Genomic DNA, 19,369 nt, shown 5'->3' with positions numbered 1-19,369 from the left:
CAGCTGCCTGCTGGAGCACTGACCACATATCAACTGCGTGTCAGCAGAACCGCGATGGAGCGCTGAAGGCACACTCACCATGCATCAACTGCGTGTCGGCAGAACCGTGAGAGTTACTGGTGCAAAGCACTTAAAGGGGTCCTCTGTCCAGTCACTGGCTGAACATGAAGCTGATGAGGTGGACACTTCAAATTAGTCCAGAACACACACTAAACAAAAGGTAACAGCAACAGAACAACAATAAACTCGTGGAGAGGGTATCTGATTTCCAGAGTTGCACAGCACATTATTAAAGTGTCCAGTCTTCAAAAAATACATATATATGAGACCACAAAGAAAGAGTATGTTATTTCCTTGGCTCTGACATGGGAAAAAAGGTCATCAATAGGAACTTCCCCTGAATAAGCCCTGATGTTGAACTTAGTAGACAAGTCACCTATCTATCTTATCTTATCCTATCTATCTATCTATCTATCTATCTATCTATCTATCTATCTAATCTATCTATCTATCTAGTTTTGAAAGCGTCTCGCTCTGTGGCCCAGGCTGGAGTACAATGGCTTGATCCTGGCTCACTGCAACCTCTGCCTCCCGGGTTCAAGCAATTCTCCTGCCTCTGCCTCCCAAGTAGCTGGGATTACAGGTGCACACCACCACGCCCGGCTTAGACAAGTACTTTAAATCAGCTTCTACACATATGTTCAAATAACTAAAGGAAACTGTGTCTACAGAATTAAAGTATGAGAATGTTTCACTAAACAAAGAATATGAGTAAAGATACAGAAATTATAGGAGAGAGCCAAATGGAAGTTTGGAGTAGAAAAGTACAATAACTGAAATGAAAAATTCACTAGAGCAGCTTGACATCAGGTTTTGTTTGGCAAAAGCATCTGTGACCTTGAAGATAGGTCAACTGAGATGACCCATTCTGAGAAGAAGAAAAAATTCCGGAATAAAGGAAAGTCAAGGAGGCCTCCAAGGCTGTGCCCAGCTCCACATCAACACACGTAGCTGGAGTCCAAGTGGGGGAAGAGAACATGGACATAAAATATTTCGAGAAACGACAACCTAAAATTTCCCAAATTTGCAGAACCACAATGGAGCGCTGAAGGCATACTCACCACACATCAACTGTGTGTCAGCAGAACCATGAGAGTTACTGGTGCAAAGCACTTAAAGGGGTCCCCTGTCCAGTCACTGGCTGAACATGAAGCTGACAAAACCGAAGGATTCAATACCCACATTCAATATCAATATAACTAGGCAGAAGATCAATAAGTGAAGAGAAGATGTAAACAATCAGACTACAAGAAATATTAACCTCTATATCCAAGAAGCTCAAAGAACTGCAGGTAGGACACACTGAAAGATCCACAATTAGACACACCACAGTCAAACAGTCAGAAGCTAAAAAGAGACTGAGACATGGTGCGGTGCTCCCGCCATGGAAACCACAGATGCCAGAGGCAGTGGAATGACATCTATAGAGGACTGAAAGAAAAAGAGGGCCAACCAAGTCAGCCATATCCAGCACAATTATTCTTCAGAAGAGAAGGAAAAATTACAACATTCTCAGATAAACAAAAACAAAGAGAATTCATTGCTAGAAGATCTGTCCTACAAGAAATACTTGAGGCTGAAGTCCAAGACACCACACTCAAATCCACACAAAGAGCACCAAAAAAGACAACTGCAAAGCCAGCAACAGAGACAGCAGAAACTCATTTCTGTTTGTACATCTTTTCTTCTTCTATGTGATTTAAAAGACAACTGCATAAAGCAATAATTACAAGACTGCTGACGGACTTACAATCTAAAAGGTAGCATTTATATGACAAATACAGCACCAAGAAGCTGAGAGGAAACAAAGCTACTTGAAGTGAAGGTTTTTGTACATTATATTAAGTTCATCTGAACACTTGATTGGTTTTACGTTGTTACTGTAATACTCAGAGCAGCTGCTAAGAAAGTTACTTTTAAAAAAACCCAGTAAAACAGACAAGGAAATTACAATGTTACAAGAGAATTAAATGTCCATTTAACACAAAAAAGTAATGGAGAAATAAAGGAAGAAAGACAAAAAAGACAATATAGTAAACAAATTTAGAAATGGCAGATACAAATCCAACTTTCTCAGTAATCACACTGAATGTAAATGGATTAAACATCCCTCTCAAACAGCAGAGACCAGCAGGACAGATGAAAAACATGATCCCACTATGTGCTGTCTACAAGAAACACACTTTTGATTCAGAGCAGAGACCAGAAAGACAGATGAGAAACACTATCCTACTATATGCTGTTTACAAGAAACACACTTTAGATTCACGGCAGAGACCAGCAGGACAGATAAGAAACATGATCCCACTATATGCTGTTTACAAGAAACACACTTTAGATTCAGAGATACAATGAAAGTTAAAGGGTGAAAAAAGATACCATGCAAACAATAATCAAAAAAGAGCTAAGTGGCTATACTAATAACATACAAAAGGGACTTAAAGACATTTTTTTTTCACTAAAGACAAAGAAGGACATGTCATAATGATAAAAGGGTCTGTTCATCAGAAAGAAATAGAAATACAGATGCACTTAACAGAGCTTCAAAATTTATGAAACAAAAGCTGACAAAACTGAAGGATTCAATACCTCACATTCAATATCAATATAACTGGGCAGAAGATCAATAAGGGAAGAGAAGACATAAACAATCAGACTACAAACCAATCAGACCTAACAGGCTTCTATACAACACTACAAACCAATCAGACCCAACAGGCTTCTATACAACACTACAAACCAACCTCTGACCCAACAGGCATCTATACAACACACACACCAACCTCTGACCCAACAGGCATCTATACAACACTACAAACCAACCTCTGACCCAACAGGCATCTATACAACACTAGAAACCAATCAGACCCAACAGGCATCCATATAACACTACAAACCAATCAGACCCAACATGCATCTATACAACCCTACAAACCAATCAGACCCAGCAGGCATCTATACAACACTACAAACCAACCTCTGACCCAACAGGCTTCTATGCAACACTACAAACCAATGAGACCCAACACACATCTATACAACTCTACAAACCAATCAGACCCAACAGGCATCTATACAACACTACAAACCAATCAGACCCAACAGGCATCTATACAACACTACAAACCAACCTCTGACCCAACAGGCATCTATACAACACTACAAACCAATCAGACCCAACAGGCATCTATACAACACTACAAACCAACCTCTGACCCAACAGGTGTCTATACAACACTACAAACCAATCAGACCCAACAGGCATCTATACAACACTCCACCCAACAAGAGCAGGATAGATATTCTTCAACACTCTGGGACAGAAAATACGGTATGCCAATAAAATAACTCTCAATACATATAAAAGACGAGAAATCATACAATCTATGTTTTTTAGCCATAATGGAGTGAAATAAGAAATCAGTAACAGGCCAGGTATGGTAGCTCATGCTTGTAATCCCAGCACTTTGGGAGGCAAAAGTGGCAGGATCACTTGAGCCCAGGAGTTCCAACACAGCCTGGGCAACATAGTCGGACCCTGTCTCTACAACAAAATTTTTAAAAATTTAGCCAGGCTTGGTGGCTCATGCCTGTAGTCTCAGCTACTCAGGAGGCTGAGGTGGGAGGTCAAGGCTGCAGTGAGCTGCGATCACTGCACTGCACTCCAGCCTGGGAGATAAAGTGAGATCTTGTCTCTCAAAAATAAGAAAAGAAGTCAATAACAGAAGGAAACCTGGGAAATTCACATATATGTGGAAATTAAACAACAAACTCTTAAATAACCAAGAGATAAAAGAAGAAATCACCAGAAAAATCAGAATATACTTTTAGATTTAAAAAAGGGAAAACACAATATAGCAGAACTTAAGGGATGAAGTAAATCAGTGCTGAGATAAAAATTTATAGCTACAAATGTCTATATGAAAAAGATTTCAAATCAGTAAGCTAATTTTCCATCTTAAGAAACAAGAAAAAGAAGAGAAAATAAAACCCAAAGCAACCCAAAGGAAATAATAAAGATTACAGTGGAAATTAACAAAATAAAGAATGGAAAATCATAGGGGATAATAAACAAAACCAGAAGTTGTTTCTTTAAATAGATCAACAAAATTGATAAATCTTTAGCTAGACTAAGGGGAGTAAAAGAGAGAAGAATCAAATTACTAAAACCAGAAAATACTATGAATAGGCTGGGAGCATTGGCTAACATCCACAATCCCAGCACTTTGAGAGGTCAAGGTGGGAGGGTCACTTGAGGCCAGGAGTTTGACAAAGATCAGCCTGGACAACACAGCAAGATCCTGTCTCCACAAAAAAATTTTAAAGAAAATTAGGGCTGGGTGTGGTGGCTCATGCCTGTAATCCCAGCACTTTGCTAGGCTAAGACAGGAAAATTTCTTGAGGCCAGGAGTTTGAGACCAGCCTAGCCAACATAGTGAGACCCCATCTCTACCAAAAATAAGCTTTTAAAAAATTAGCCAGTCATACTGCCATGCCCCTGTAGTCTTAGCTACTCAGGAAGCTGAGATGGGAAGATTGCTTGAGTCTGGGAGGTCAAAGCTGTAGTGAGCCATGATTGTGCTACTGTACTCCAGCCTGGGTGACAGAGCAAGACTCTGTCTCAAACAAAACAAAACCAAAGACAGAAAATTAGCTGAATGTGGTGGTGCATGCCTGTGGTCCTTCCTACTGGGGAGGCTGAGGTGGGAGGATCACTTGGGCCCATGAGTCTGAGGTTGGAGTGAGCTATGATTGCACCACTGCACTCCAGCCTGGGCAACAGAGTGAGACCTTGTCAGTTAAAAAAATTTTTTTTAATGCTATGAACCATTATATATGAACAGATTGCAACAAAGAACCTAGAAAGGGACAAACTCCTGGAAAGATGCAAACTACTGGAACTAAACAGATCTATAATAAATGAAGATACTGAATTAGGGAAAAAAATCCCACAAAGAAAAGCCCAGCCTTCACTGGTAAATTCCACCAAATGTTTAAATAATTAACAACAATCTTTCACAAACTCTTCCAAAAAATAGGAGGGGAGGGAACACTTCCCACCTCAATCTATGAGGTCAGTAGTGACGTGACTAAAGCTAAAGACATCACAAAAAGACTACAGCCCAATATCCCTCATGAATACAGATGCAAAATCCTAGCAAACCAAAGCCAGCAGCATAGAAAAAGGATTATACACCATGAACAAGTAGAATTTGCCCCATGAATGCAAGGTCGGTTCAATATATGAGAAACAATGTAATATACTGTATCACTATAATAAAGGACAAGAATCATACTATCATCTCGACAGATGGAGAAAAAGCATCTGACAAAATTCAATACTTTATGACAAAAACACTCAACAAACTAGGAGGAGAAGGTAACTTTTTCAACCTGATAGAAGCATCTACACAAAACTGCATTGTTAGCATCACATTCAATGGTGAGAGACCGAAAGCTTCCCGCTAAGATCAAGAGTAAGACGAGGATGTCTGTTCTCACCACATCTATTCAACATTGTCCTGGAGGTACTAGCCAGAGCAATTAGGTAAGAGAAATAAAAGAAATCCAGATTAGAAAGAAAGCTGTTTGCAGATGACATGATTTTGTGTATGGAAAATCTTAGGGAACATACAACTAATTAGAATGAATAAACAAGTTCAGCAAGGAATGCTGGATACAAGATCAATACACAAAAGTCAGTTGTACTTCCACATATTAGCAATGATCAGCCCCAAAGTGAAATTTGGAAAACAATTACATTTGTGATTGCTTTTGTAAATGCAATTTATAATCTTTTAATAATTTATAATTGCATTTATAGTCCTTTTGGTTATAAATCAAAAATAATAAAATATGAGTAAATTTAACAAAATAAGTGAGAAACTTATATACTGAAAACTACAAAATACTGTTGAAATAAATTTAAAAAGACCCAAATAAATGGAAAGATAATCAGAAGCTCATGACTCAGAAGATTTAATATTAAGACGGTAATACATTCCAAAGCAATCTCTAGATTTAATGTAATTCCTATCAAAAATCTCAGCTGCTTTTTTTTTTTTTTTGAAGAAACTGATGAGTGGATCCTAAAATTCATTTGGAAATGCAAGAGATGCAGAAGAGTCAAAACAGCCTTGAAGCAGAACAAAGTAAAACTTCTCACAACAAAGCAGCACTGATCAAGGCACTGTGGCACTGGCATAAGGTTAAACAGGTCAATGGAATAGAGTCAAGTGCCCAGAAATAAGCCTGTACATTTTTGGTCAACTGATTATCAATAATGGTGCGAAGATAATTCAATGGGGAAAAATAATGTTTTCAACAAATGGTGCTGGGACAACTGGATATCCACATGCAAAAGAATGTGGGCTCTTACACCACACACAAAACTTAATTCACAATGGATCAAAGATCTACACATAAGAGCTGAAATTATAAAATGCTTATTAGAAACTAGGTGTAAATCTCTGTGATCTTGGATTAGGTGATGGCTTCTGAAATGTGACAGCAAAAGCATAAGCAACAAAAGAAAAAAACAGATAAATTGCTGTACTTCATCAAAATTAACTTTTGTGCTTCAGAGGACACTATCCAGAAAGTGAAACAACAGTATGGAAGAAAGTTTTTGCAAATCAGCTGAGTGCGGTGGCTCACACCTGTAATCCCAGCACTATGGGAGGCCGAGGTGGGTGGATCACGAGGTCAAGAGATCAAGACCATCCCAGCCAACACAGTGAAATCCCGTCTCTACTAAAAATACAAAAATTAGCTGGGCGTGGTGGTGCGCGCCTGTAGTCCCAGCTACTCAGGACGCTGACGCAGGCGAATCGCTTGAACCCAGGAGGTGGTAGTTGCAGTGAGCCGAGATCACGCCATTGCACTCCAGCCTGGCGACAGAGCAAGATTCCATTTCAAAAATAAATAAATAAATAAATAAAGTTTTTGCAAATCACATGAGGATCTAGTATCCACAGTATACATATAAACTCCTGGCCAGGAGTGGTGGCTCATGCCTGTAATCCCAACACTTTGGGAGACCGAAGCAGGAGGATCGCTTGAGGCTAGGAGTTCGAGATCACCGTGGGCAACACAGTGAGACCTCATCTCTACAAAAAATTTAAAAAATTAGCCAGGTGTTGTGGTGTGTGCCTGTAGTCCCAGCTACCTGGGAGGCTGACGTGGAAGGATGGCTTGAGCCCAGGAGTTTGAGGCTGCACTGAGCTATGATTCTGCCACTGCACTCAGCCTGGGTAAGAGCAAAAGCCCATCTCTAAAAGGAAAAACAAAAAAAACAACTGTTACAACTCAAGATAAATCATTCAATTAAAAATAGGCAAGAGGTTTGAATAGACTCCTCTCCAAAGGAGATACACAAATGGCCAGTAAGCCCACGAGAAGATGTTCGGTATCCTTCTCCAATGCTGCTGTGAACATGGGTGCACAAGCTTCCGCATGGACAGGTTTTCACCTCCTTTGTTTTATACATTGGAGGGGAACTGCATGGATAAACCTTAAAAACAACGCCAAGTGTAAGAAGCCAGGGACAAGAGGACACATGTATGAAAAGGCACATCCAGAAACAGAAAGCAGATGACTGAACGGTTCACTAGCCTTTGTGTTTGTGTTAAAAACAGCATTTGCACAAAAGTGGGTTTCCCAGAGTTCCTCTGAGTGGTCGCCTCCTGGCTGGGGAATGCACGCTCTGAAGGCTGAGCTGCACACACATTCCGTCCGTGCTGAACCCCACACCACGACAAGCACTGGTCTCACGAGGACTCGCAGAAGCCCTCTGGAACAGGGTCGCTGCCTGTGTTCACATCTCCAGGCCCGAGGGCCTCTTCTGCGAGGCCAGACCCATCACCAGACGATGCCGAACCCTGTAGCAGCAGAGCGGCCGTACCTTCAGGGCATTGCAACACACCATTTCTTTACATCAAACACAGTAATAGACAAAGCATGGTTACTGCCCAGACCCACGCCCACTCTGCTGTCCTGAGACACTGGCAGAGGGAGAAAGTGCTGATGGCCAGTGCACTGGGCCCCGCTCTCTAGTTCAGTGCGTAGTTAAACTGGTTTGAAAACTTCTCGTGCTTCTTCTGGTCCATCCGGTTCATGGCTGCCACTACCCTCCGCACAGCTGCCCTGTGGGGAAACAAGGCAAGATGTGACCTGGGAGGCTTCCGCCAGGGGCCTGGGCTCCCAGTGGCGGCATCACCAAAGTTAGGCACTGGTCCTGGGGCAACTGCTGCCCTCGGACACTGACAGACTGCCTGTGGGTGCCACCTTCAGAGACAGATGGGCGACGGGCCCCTTGGCCCTGGCCCGAGACAGACAGGCTTAGAAAGGGCCGCCCCAGGTCCCAGAAGCGGAGTCTGCGGCGGGTGGTTCTGCGCGGTGAAGGTGGCCCCAGCCCCACCTTGGCACTTCTCCCGTGGCCTCCCGCACTCCAGGATGAGGGCAGCCTCCCCCTTGGCCTCCCGGGGAGCGGCCTCGCAGGAGATGCAGCCAGGAGGCGTCAGGACAGCCCTGCCCGCTGCTGCACGCACGGCTCCACGGCCAGGGCTGGAAACCTGGAGGGCTGCAGCAGGGGGGGCACGGGCCAGGCAGGCATTCCGGGGAGCAGGATGAGGTGTGCTGTGCTGACCAGCTCAGCTGCTGCGACCCACGAGGGTGTGGAGCTGTGGAGCCAGCAGGGCCTGAGGCCACAATGTGGTGAAGCTGCCGCTCAGCTGCGGCCCCTGTGGGGCTGCCAGGCGCTGCTGTGGGGGCCCCTCGAGGCAGGGTTTTGCCTGTGGTCACCCCAGATCCTTTCTGTAGGGAGGGGTCTGGGCCACACAGCTGTGGCGAAGAGCCAGCTCCTGCCATGGGCTTCAGTGTCCCCATGAGACACAGGGAGGAGGCCTGGCATGGGCCCACTGGCCATTCCTCCTCCTGGGCATCAGCACCAAGGCTGGCCTCTGCCCCTGGCTGATCCACGGGAAAACAGCCTCACCCTGAGCTCCAAGGGCTAAGGTGCCTTGGGTGGCTGGCATACGGGATGGGTCCAGCCCTGTGCCAGGGGCCCCAGGCAGCCTCTCCACAGCCCCCACCAGCGCCCCTGCCCCACCCAAGCAAGGCTGTGGATGTACCACCCACAAGCCTGGGGGAAGCCTGGTCTGAGTGCTGTGAAGGCGCCTCCCACCCGAGCCCACTCAGGCCGGTGCACGGTCATGCTGGCCAGGAGGGGCCTCCTCTGCCCGGTGCACTTAGCACCTTCCAGGTGTGTCCAAGGGAGGGTTTCTGGGATGGCGATGGGTGGGGGCCACCTCACTGGTGCTACCAGACAAACCTGCACCAGCAGGGACTTGACACAGATTTGGGAGGGAGTCAACAGCCTCAGGTGGCTTCTAAACAAGCATTCTGGATTTTCTTAGGCGAGAACAAGGCAATATGAAGACAGAAACACAAGGCCGTGCGAGTGGCTGGTGCCCCAGCTGACAGACTGCACGCAGGGACGCCGGGCTGGTGGGCTTCGCACTCTGGCCCTGCCAAGTCCTCACCAGTCACACAGGCCCATGCTGGGCTGCAGAGACACCAGGCCAGCCTCCCAGAGCCAGTGCTCAGAGAAGACATGCTGGGGCTGGGCTCTGCTGGGGCTGACGCGTGGACCCCCGTTCTGCCCGCCTTTGCAGTCATCGCCCTCCCTGAAGTCACCGCTGCAGAAATACGCAGGCACTGACCTGGGGGTACAGCCAGGCAAGGGAGAGACGAGGGGCTCACTCTGCACCAGCCAAGGCCTGTGTCCTGGCATGGCTCCCCCAGGAAGCGAGGATGGCGGTGCCTGGCGGTCGAGCCCCTCTTATCCTGGGGAATGCTGGGGGGCGTTCCTGAGCAGACCTGCCTGCTGCCCCTGCTGGCTGGCACTGCCCCTCCCCGGGGAAAGGCTGGGTGGTCCCCCAGGGGAACTCAAAGCAGGGGAGCCCCTGGAGGCCCCAAGTCCCTGGAATATCTTGGCGCTCAGATGGCCCCCCTCGAACACCCTCACACGGGGGGGCCACGCGGTGGGAGGTGACCCAGCAGCCACTCTTACTTGGCGAAGACTTTTCTCCCAATGCGAGCGCGGGCGGTATCAGCCTGAGCCTTCAGGTTGGTGAGGCTGGGGTACCTCCTCTTCTTCCCCCTGCCTTTCCCGCTGTACCTGGATGAGCCGAGATCCTGCCCTGTGGCTGCTTCCACGTCTCTCATCAACTCAGGGTCCTGCCATTCTGCAAACAAAACTCAAGCACTTCAGGAGACGTCTGGCACTGACCAGAGCCTCTTACCCGAGGCCCCCAGGAGGGGCTCTTGGTCTCGTCCTGACAGGGGGGCTGGGTCGCCTTGCCCACGGCCGTACCCTGGCAGCAGCAAGCCTGAGAGGATGCTCAGCGGTTAGGGTTCCCTGAGCAACAGGCTGGGGAGGGTGGGCATGCTGGCCCCCACAGGGTGAAGGTGACACAGAGCTTGCCCCCACCGCCCCACACCCCCACAGGCCCCTGCAGCCCAGAGATGGGGAGCAGGGGCTCAGCCCAGAGGCCACTCCTAGGGCACCCATGGGCCTCCCAGGCTGGAAGGCGGCTAAGGCCAGCGGTTGGGGGGTGGCACCATCCGCAAGCTCCTTTCCTGCCTGCAGGCTGGACCGTGCCCCACTAGGCAAACTGTGGCCCTGCTGGACACGCCTGCTGGTGGGGAGGTACGTGTGGCAGGGCTGGGCCAAGCATGATGCTCAGCAAAGGGCTTTTCTTTTTCGTTGATCCAAAGATGACCTGGCCTCAGGCCTCAGAAATGCAGGCTGGGGCTCTCCTAGACAGAACTGCCCTTCCCAAGCAAGCCGTGCATTGTCTGCTTGAGGCCCTGTGGCAGTGAGGGGACAGAAATGTCAACAGCCCCACTGGGCAGCCTCCCAGGCTGAGAGTACCCACCGTGCAGATGGCACTGAGGCCCTCGGGGGTCACAGGCCCAGGCTTCCTGTGGGGTTCCCCACACAAGGCGGAGGTGGGCCTCCACCAGGTGTGGTGCTGGTCGGGCTCGGGAAGGCCACCCCTGACGGGACTGTGATGGCCATGGGACTTACAGACAACCCTGGCTCACAGAAGGGGGCCAGGCACCAATGCTACAGAGGCACCCGCTCCTGCAGACAGGACCCCACGAGCTGAGCCAGTGGGACCAGGCCACGGGGGCGACCAGGCCACGGGGGCACATCCCCGGAGGAATGCCCACATCTCGGACGGATGGCCAGGCCTCCCAAGCGGATTCTTTGAAGTGAAGGAATACGGGGCCCACAATTCAGATACAGGAACGATTAATCCAAGATTAAGGAAAACTGTCCAAACAGTTTATCTCCCAGTAATAAGAAGGCGCCACAGTTTAGGAACCCGGTGAATGGAGCAATTGTTTAAACACAACGAAAAAGCCCCGGCACCCAGCAGAGATGGAGCGAGCGTCTCAGTGAAATGAAGGAGCAATTTAAAAGCCTTTGAGGAAAATCAATAGATGCTGGGACCGCGCGGCCTTCCTGGGCGCTGACGGGCCCTGCAGCAGCACGCACATTGTCACTGAGGTTAGCACCAGGGAAAGGAAAATTGCGCCGTGCGCGAGGGAGGCGGGGATCAATACCGTAGTTAGTAAAGAGACACTATTTCACATCTGACTGGCCAGCGCTGGCCGCAGCCCGCGGCCTGATACCTGTTTGTTAACAAGTCACCAAGGGCTGGAAAACCAGATACTCTTCAGGGTTGACACAAAAAATAGGCACTTAATTTGCTCCTGAGTGTGAGCCACCAGGGAAGGCCTCACCCGGAGATTAGCAGGTCAGGGCCCTCCCGCCGCCCAGGGCTGAGCTGCTGCCTCTGGGCATCAGGCTGCACTCAACATCTGCCTCTCATGACCAGAGTGCAAGACACCCGGGAGCCATGACAGAGACAGCTTGGAAGGGATCCTGGGCCCCCAGAGCTGCTCTTCAAGACAAGGTGTGAACCCCCACTTCGGGCCAGGGCCAGGCCTGCAGGTGTGGCCACTCTCCAGAAGGGACCGAGGCCGGGCGGGGACTCACATCTGTAATCCCAGCATTTTGGGAGGTGAGACAGGAGAATGCAGGAGTTCAAGACCAGCTTGGGCAATACAGTGCCACCCCACCTCTACTAAAAATAAAAATACAAAAATTAGTCGGGCATGGTGGCATGATAATTCCAGCTACTTGGCAGGCTGAGGCACGAGGATCGCTCGAACCTGGGAGGCCATGACTGCGCCACTGCACTCTAGCCTGGGTGACAGAGAGAGACCCTGCTTCAAAAAAAAAAAAAAAAAAAGCCAAATCAAAGTAAAAAGAAGAGAGAGCGCCTGAGGCTGGCCAGGGCCTCTAAAAACAAATCTTCCTTGGAAAACAGATATGCAGGGTGGGCAGATGGGCCCGAGGGGAGGCAGGGCGGGCAGATGGGCCTGGGGTGAGACAGGGTGGGCAGATGGGCCCTGCTGATGTGGCAGTGCTGCCCCACAGTGGCCTTGCTGTCCAGGGCCTCTGGGCACCCGCACTCCTGCCGCCATAGCAGTGGCCACACGCCTCCTGGACAGAGCTGTGGCCACCTGCACACTGAGGCAGGTGCGGGGTATGGCTGAGGAGGCCAGAGGGGTTCCTAGAAGCCACTCTGGGCTCAGCCCAATCACTTCTCTCGCCTTAAGGCCTTCACCTGCCTGAAAACACGAGGGAAGCAGGACCCAGCCACACAGATGGCACCTGTGGCTTCGGGGCCGTGGGTGCCCACCTCCCGGTCAGGGCCTCATGAACACGTGACCCCCTAAAGCTGGAGCATCCTCTGGAGCCCCCAAACCCAGGACCCTCAGGGCAGCATCCCCTCCTGATTCTGCCAGTTATGACCGAGAGGCTTGTAGCTCCATGGACGAAGCTGGCAGAGCGGGTGCTCTGTGACTCTGCAGACACACCCCGGGCCACTAGTGGCAGTGAGTCCCAGGCTGTGCCTCCCACGGTGACCGCCTTGCCCAGACCTACCCGGGCGCTCCTGCTTCTGCAGCTGCCGCCGCTGCTCACGAGCCCTGTCTTCCGGGTCGAGCGGCCGTCCTTCGTCGTCCCGTGGAACAATCTTCCCATGGAAAGGGCACTGCACAGCGAGGACACGGTGGCTGATGGCGGGGAGGGGTCCGCTTGCCTTGACCACCTCCCCCCACCACCACGACTTGGGCACAAACAGCGACCAGGGTGGGTGGTATCACAGAGCCAAAGTGTACACAACCTGGAATCACGCGCCCCTCAGAGGAGGGCGTCCTGAGAGCCACAGGGACGTGGGGATGGCTCCGTCCCTCCTCTGGAGCCGGAAGGTCTTGGGCAGCTGTGGAAAGTCTAGGCCTCCCTCATCCAGCATGGCCATAGCGACCCCCCTGCACCATGCCCAGCTGCCCGGCTGGGAGCTGCCCTGGCCCCCTGGCCTCTCCTCACTTTTGAGGATCCCAGGCCCAGCACAGACCCGGGCTGCAACCATGGAGGATACTGTGTGTCTTGGCCCCTGGAGAGTCCCCAAGCCATGTACCCAGGTGTCAGGCTTCAGGGCCGTGGGCAGGAGCCCCAGACACCATGCTCTGATGGCCAACGGCTAAGCAATTTCTGCCCACCACGGATAAGCCCCTTCCATGGGCTTCTCAGTGCTCACAAGCACCCTGACCCAGGGCAGGGGCAGGTGGGGCTCAGCACCCCTCTGGCTGCCCCACCTGGTCCAGCCCACACCCACCCCCGCCCTCGGGCCACGGCCTCACCTTCAGCCGGTCTTGGCGCTCACAGAGCCGGCCGTCTGGCCTCGGGGCACGGCACCAGTGCTGCACAGGCTCAAACTTCCCGGCAAAAGTGATGTGGCGGCTCCGGAGCATCTCGGAGATGTCGGCATTGACCACTTCCTCCTCCACCTCGCTGGGCTTCCAGAAGCGGTGCTGGGAGTCAGACCTGCAGACACAGCCAGAGGCCCTCATAGCATCTGCAGGGACCCCAGAAGAGCGTGGCCACGGTGGTGCAGGCACAGGGGAAGGCCAAACACCACTGCAGCCCAGCCACCCCAACACTGTGGACAGCACCCAGGGAGAACACGGTCACTCCCGGCTGGGTCTGAATTCTGACGCCACATGAACCAGCCGCGCGACCACGGGCACGACCGCCTGCGTCTGAATTCTGATGCCACGTGAACCAGCCGCGCGACCACGGGCACGACCGCCTGCGTCTGAATTCTGACGCCACGTGAACCAGCCGCGCGACCACGGGCACGACTGCCACCTGCAAGATGGGCTCTCCCTATAGGACAAGGGCGACAGCTGCTGCGTCCTTGAGGCGTGACCTTGAAGGCCAACGGGGCATCCACATGAAGGTCGTCCTTCCACTGCAGGGACGTAAGGACAGGGCGGTAGCACACCCAGGAGAAGGAGTGAAGGCCGTTCAGCCCTTGGCAGCACAGAGGGGCCGGGTGCTGGAGACCAGACTCCACTGCCCCAGGCGTCCCAGGTCTCCCAGGCGTCCCAGGTGCGTCCGCTCCCACGCTCTGCTGTTGTCATCAACCTGGTTAGGGACGCTTTCCGGCGGATGCCATGGGATGGGGGGGCTGGGTGTGCCGGCCAAGAGGAGGCCGGCCTCAGAGGACTCCACCCCCTGCCCACCTGGATGCCCAGGCAGGGGAGAAGTGTCTGAGGGGCCCTCACACAGACCAGACTGCCCCTGTGCTGCCACCAGGCCTCCTTCTAGGACACACAGCCACAGTTGGGGCCAGCAGGAGCTGGGGAGGACAGATGGGCAGTGCCAAGGGCTCCCAGTGATGAGAGGCTGCTCATTGCCTGCTGACTGGGGAACGGTCGGCTCTGCCCGAAGCTCCCGGGCTCCCACACCCTGTGCCTGAGGATGCTGGAGGAGCAGAGCCCAGCAGCCCCGCCCTCACCCCAGGTCCACAGACAGGAGCACAGCCCCAGGCACGGCCCACGCTAGGGAGAAGGGACCAGCAGTAGGCCCTGCCCTGGGGCCGCCTGGACCTCATTTCTGCATCCACCTTGGTCTGGGATGAGGCTGGTTTGGGATAAGGCAGTGGGTGGGAACGCAGGCAGAATGTGCTGCCCAGGGCCTTGGCCCCACTACAGGCAGAGGCGTCTCGGGCAAAGCCCTGGTGGGCTGAAGAGCACCTGGCCATGTGCCCCGCAGTCAAGGAGGTACATGCGGCTCCCCCGAGGGTGCCTGACCGCCCGGCCAAATGCTTCCTGCTGCACCCAAGGCCCCGTGGGAGAAGCAGCGATGCATTCTGCCACCCGGAACTCGGACCAGAGACGCCCCGTGGATCGCAGTGAGAACACTCAGGAGCCGGCGCACAGCAGCCACACCACGGGCTCCACCGCTTCCTCCCCGTCCAGGTGCAGGGATGCTTCCCTCTACTCCCCTCGGCCGAGGACCACTGGCTATTTTTTTTTCAGACAGACTCTTGCTCTGTTGCCCAGGCTGGAGTGTGATGGTGCGATCTCAGCTCACTGCAAACTCCGCCTCCTGGGTTCAAGCGATTCTCCCGCCTCAGTCTCGAGTAGCTGGGATTACAGGCGCACGCCACCACGCCCGGCTAATTTTTATATTTTTAGTAGTGATGGGGTTTTGTCATGTTGGCCAGGCTGGTCTCGAACTCCTGGCCTCAAGTGATCCACCTGCCTTGGCCTCCCAAAGTGCTGGGATTACAGGCGTGAGCCACTGTACCCAGCCAGGGCCCGCCAGCCCTCTGTGTACCAGGACGGCTTTGTTCTAGTGGTTGCCTGTGGCCGCCACCCCCATCAGCCCTGTCTCCCACCACGGCCTGGCCAGGCCCTGGCTTCCCGGACCCGCATCATCTTGACCTCCTGGATGAAAGGGGCGAGCCCAGGCTCTCCGAGATCCCTAAATGTGGCTGAGAGCCAGAGGGCAGGACCCCTCCACTTGGTGAGGGAATGTGGGGTGAGCAGCCCCTGCCATCCTGGCTAGGGGCCAGCCAGGAGGAGTGTGGCCCTCAACTGGCTGTGGGGCACATGTGGCACCCAGGTGCCATCTCCTGCACCAGCCCATGTACCCCCATCCACGCAGCTGACATGGGGCCCTTCCCCAGCCCGGGCCGCTGCCATGTGTAGGCTGCAACTCCATCAAGCCGACCACAGCAGTGTGCAGGCAGTTGGGGGAAACATGAAGCCGTGAGCTCGATGCACCAGGTGCGTGGTGCTGACGGGCCAGGCAGGTGGAACGTGAAGCCAGGCCTGCCCAGCAGGGCCCCGGTGCCATCCAGGACTAACCGGGTCCTCACCAGCAGCTGCTCAGGCCTCTCTCTCAGCCCAACTGCCTGGGGGCTCAGGGCAAAGCCTGTGGTCCTGGGGACGGGCCAGGCAGGTGGGAGGAGGGACGGGCATCCGCTTCTCGGTGGGAGCTTTGCTGGGCGTCACCTCCCAGGCTCAGAAACCAAGCACTGGCCTTGGGGCACCCCTGGTGGCAATGTGTGACAGGGACAGCTGTTTCTTCCCGACCTCTCCGGCCGCTGAGCAGCCTGCCCAGCCCCTCCCTCCTCACACTGTCCCTAATCTGGCCCCCACTAGGGGCGGTGTCTGTGGAGCCCTGAGGACGGGGCCCTCAAATCTCAGTCCTGCTGTGAGTGAGACCAGGGCCTGCCTCGCTTACCATCCTGCTCTCGTGTGTCGTGTGTGAGCCCAGCAGAACCCCGGGAACACAGGCAGCTGTGGACAATGTGCCAGGACGTCCCGGCACTCGGGGCCCGTTCCTGGGCATCCAGACACAGAGGCAGTGGCTGCCCTGGGCACACGGTGCTCCTCAGGCCCTGAAGCTGCCCCAGGACCCTTGCCCGGCTCCCCTGCCCCCCCGCTCTCTGGAGGTTCTGACATCAGCCCCTCACACGGATGAGACGCTCCCGCATCACGCCCCGCAGACCCCGCAGCATTGGCTTTAGTGGTTACGGTGTTTGCACAGGCAGCCCGGCCCTTGAAATGGGTGCTGTGGGGACGGCAATATTCCGTGTCACACCTGGCCCTGGGTCTTGATGGCGGGGACTGGCAAGAGGCCAGGGGGACCCACCTCTGCCCTCTAAGGAAGACGCCTTAGGGTGACCTTCCATCCCAGGACACAGCCTTGGCACTGTCCTCCCCACCCTCTCCCGGGTGTGGAGAACCGTCCTGCGGCAGGAGCTGAGGCGGCGGCAGGGGCCCTGTTCCCCCGATAGGCCGTGCCAGCGAGCTGTGGCAGGCGCTGGAGTACCCAGGTGGCCTCTTGAGGCCCAACGGTCCGGACTTTCGCACAGATGACCCCCGTGTGCCCCCTTCTGCTGCAGCTTCACAGAGAAGAGGCCAGTGCGGTGAGGGGTGCAGAGGGGAAAGTGGGCAGGGAGGGTGGCTTCCCGAGGCTCCTTGCAGAGCCCCCGCCTGAGGTCTGGACACACGGTCACCGTGAGCAGCTGCAACACGGTCAGGAAGCCCCAGGCCTCAGCCAACCGTGCAGTCCTGAAGCAGGACAAACTGAACGGGCCCCAGGGCCGCCTTTAGGGGAGTGGTTTCTCGTCCAGCTGTTCCCACAAGATTCATAACACCCAAGCTCCATGGATGGCCCCCGACACAGCAGCAGAAAGGCTCAAAAAAGCCTTTCTGGGCTCCACGAGCCGGATCAGCAGGGGAGGCCCACCCCTGTGCCCCTCCAGGTGCCCGGAAGGTGGGGCAGAGCTGGGAGGCAGGGCCAGCTTCCTCAGACCCAGGGAGGCCTGGTGAGCCGGCAGCCCCCTCCTCAGGCTGGGACCCTGGTTGTGTGCCCTGGCCGACTTCAGACACATGGGGACTCACTTGACAATCTTCCCGGCTGTGGGGAGCTCCTGGCCCCAGTAGTGCAGGTCCACGCCGTAGGGCACCACAGGCGCCCGGGCCCGCTCTGCTGCCAGCTTCTGGGCCTCCTGTGGCTCTGGCAACGCTCTGGAGGGGCTACAGGAGCAGAGTGGGACAGCCTGACGGTGCTGCTGGTGCCACCCACAGCCACCCTCCTCTCCCTCCCCACCCCCACAGCAAGGCTGGGGCCTCGGGTCGGATCAGGTGAGCAATGGCTTCTGCCACACGACGCCTGGGCCTCAGGGCCACCGCTGAGGTCCTGTGAGAAGCTCTGGGCCCTCGCCAACAGCTGGCCTCTGGTCTGCAGTCCTTCACCCTGGCCCAGAGGTGACCTGACATCTGCCTCTCAAACCCCAGCCCTGGGGGCTCCTCTCAGAGGCACGGGCAGTGTCTGGAAGGGTATTTGTTGGCCCAGTCCCACCCGGGCTCCAGCTGATGCTGGCACTGACAAGCCCAAACATGGCACCAACACTGCTCACCCGGCCGGGGGTACACACCCAAGGCTTCCACCAAGATATCCAGAAAAGGCACTAAGCAGCCTCTCGAGGCCGGCCAGTGCTCTGGGCAGAGGCTGTGGCAGCGCCGGGCAGGGGGCTCAGCACACAGGACACTGGGAGTCACCTGGCAGATGAGGGTGGAGGCAAGTGGTCCCGGAGCTGCCGCAGCTGAGCAGCCGCAGAGGTGGGGTCCGACACCTCCTCGTCCATCCTCGTCCTCGTCCGCAAGCACCGCACAACTGTGTCTTTCTCTGGTGCTGCCTCCAGCCCTGAAACAGACACGTGTCCACTCCCTGCCACCACTCCCACAACCCGCCAGGCACATCAGGCAAGACCGGGCAGTTAGGACGCGCCTATGCGTTAGCGTGTTCCATCTTCCAACAGTCCCGAGGTGGGTGCCTGCTATCTGCTCCTCACGGGCGAGGGTGAGGCCCGGAGCAGCAGCTCAGGCCACGCTCTGCCAGAACATGGCGTGCGTCGGGGGGTCCGGCAGTCCCGCCTTGTGGCCACGCTGTTCACACACTGTGCTGCCGGGCTTTGCAGAAGTGCCAGCCTGAGCAGATGGATTCGCCAGGCTGGAAAGAAGCTGGGCAGCAGCGAGAGCCCAGACTGCCCGGCACCCTGTGCCCATAGCCCCGGCAGCTCAGGCTCCGGTGGTGAGATGTAGGCAGCCTGGAGCCCTCCCCAGCACCCAAGCCTGAGGTGGCAGCCGCTTGGAAAGGCCACCCACAGGGTGCTCACATGGTCCTCAAGGAGAAGAGACGCACAGCTCCACACAGGGGTTCAACCCACATCTCACGCTGACGTCAAACCGCGATGTTAGCGGGGATTCCAGCCCCTGTGTCCCCACAGAAACGCCCGGGGCTGCACCACAGCTTCAGCAGGCGCCTCTGACAGCCACAGGGGCCACTGGACCAAGGTCTTGGCCC

At 54.0% G+C, this 19,369-nt stretch overlaps 1 protein-coding gene across 15 annotated transcripts in view; it reads right to left on the bottom strand.

Moving 5' to 3' along the window:
• UVSSA (UV stimulated scaffold protein A) overlaps positions 1 to 19,369 on the bottom strand; it is a 53,979-nt gene that overhangs the window by 1,917 nt on the left and 32,693 nt on the right. For 11 of the 15 annotated variants that reach the window (XM_017008493.3, XM_017008494.3, XM_017008490.1 and 8 more), the window contains 6 exons: positions 18,565 to 18,709; positions 17,905 to 18,039; positions 13,843 to 14,026; positions 13,085 to 13,193; positions 10,133 to 10,307; positions 6,024 to 8,205 (listed from right to left, as the gene is read on the bottom strand). In XM_017008493.3, coding sequence (XP_016863982.1) covers positions 8,112 to 8,205; positions 10,133 to 10,307; positions 13,085 to 13,193; positions 13,843 to 14,026; positions 17,905 to 18,039; positions 18,565 to 18,709 — 842 coding nt within the window. In that variant the 3' untranslated portion in view covers positions 6,024 to 8,111. Of the gene's footprint in view, positions 1 to 78; positions 8,206 to 8,609; positions 10,308 to 13,084; positions 13,422 to 13,842; positions 14,027 to 17,904; positions 18,040 to 18,564; positions 18,710 to 19,369 lie in introns of those variants that run through there. The other 4 variants (XR_007057948.1, XR_007057949.1, XM_047416026.1 and 1 more) reach the window with 4 other exon arrangements.

The sequence above is a fragment of the Homo sapiens genome, chromosome 4 (genome assembly GCF_000001405.40).
Source record: "Homo sapiens chromosome 4, GRCh38.p14 Primary Assembly".
In the NCBI taxonomy this organism is placed as follows: Eukaryota; Metazoa; Chordata; class Mammalia; order Primates; family Hominidae; genus Homo; species Homo sapiens.
This window is presented reverse-complemented; position numbering and strand designations above follow the sequence as displayed.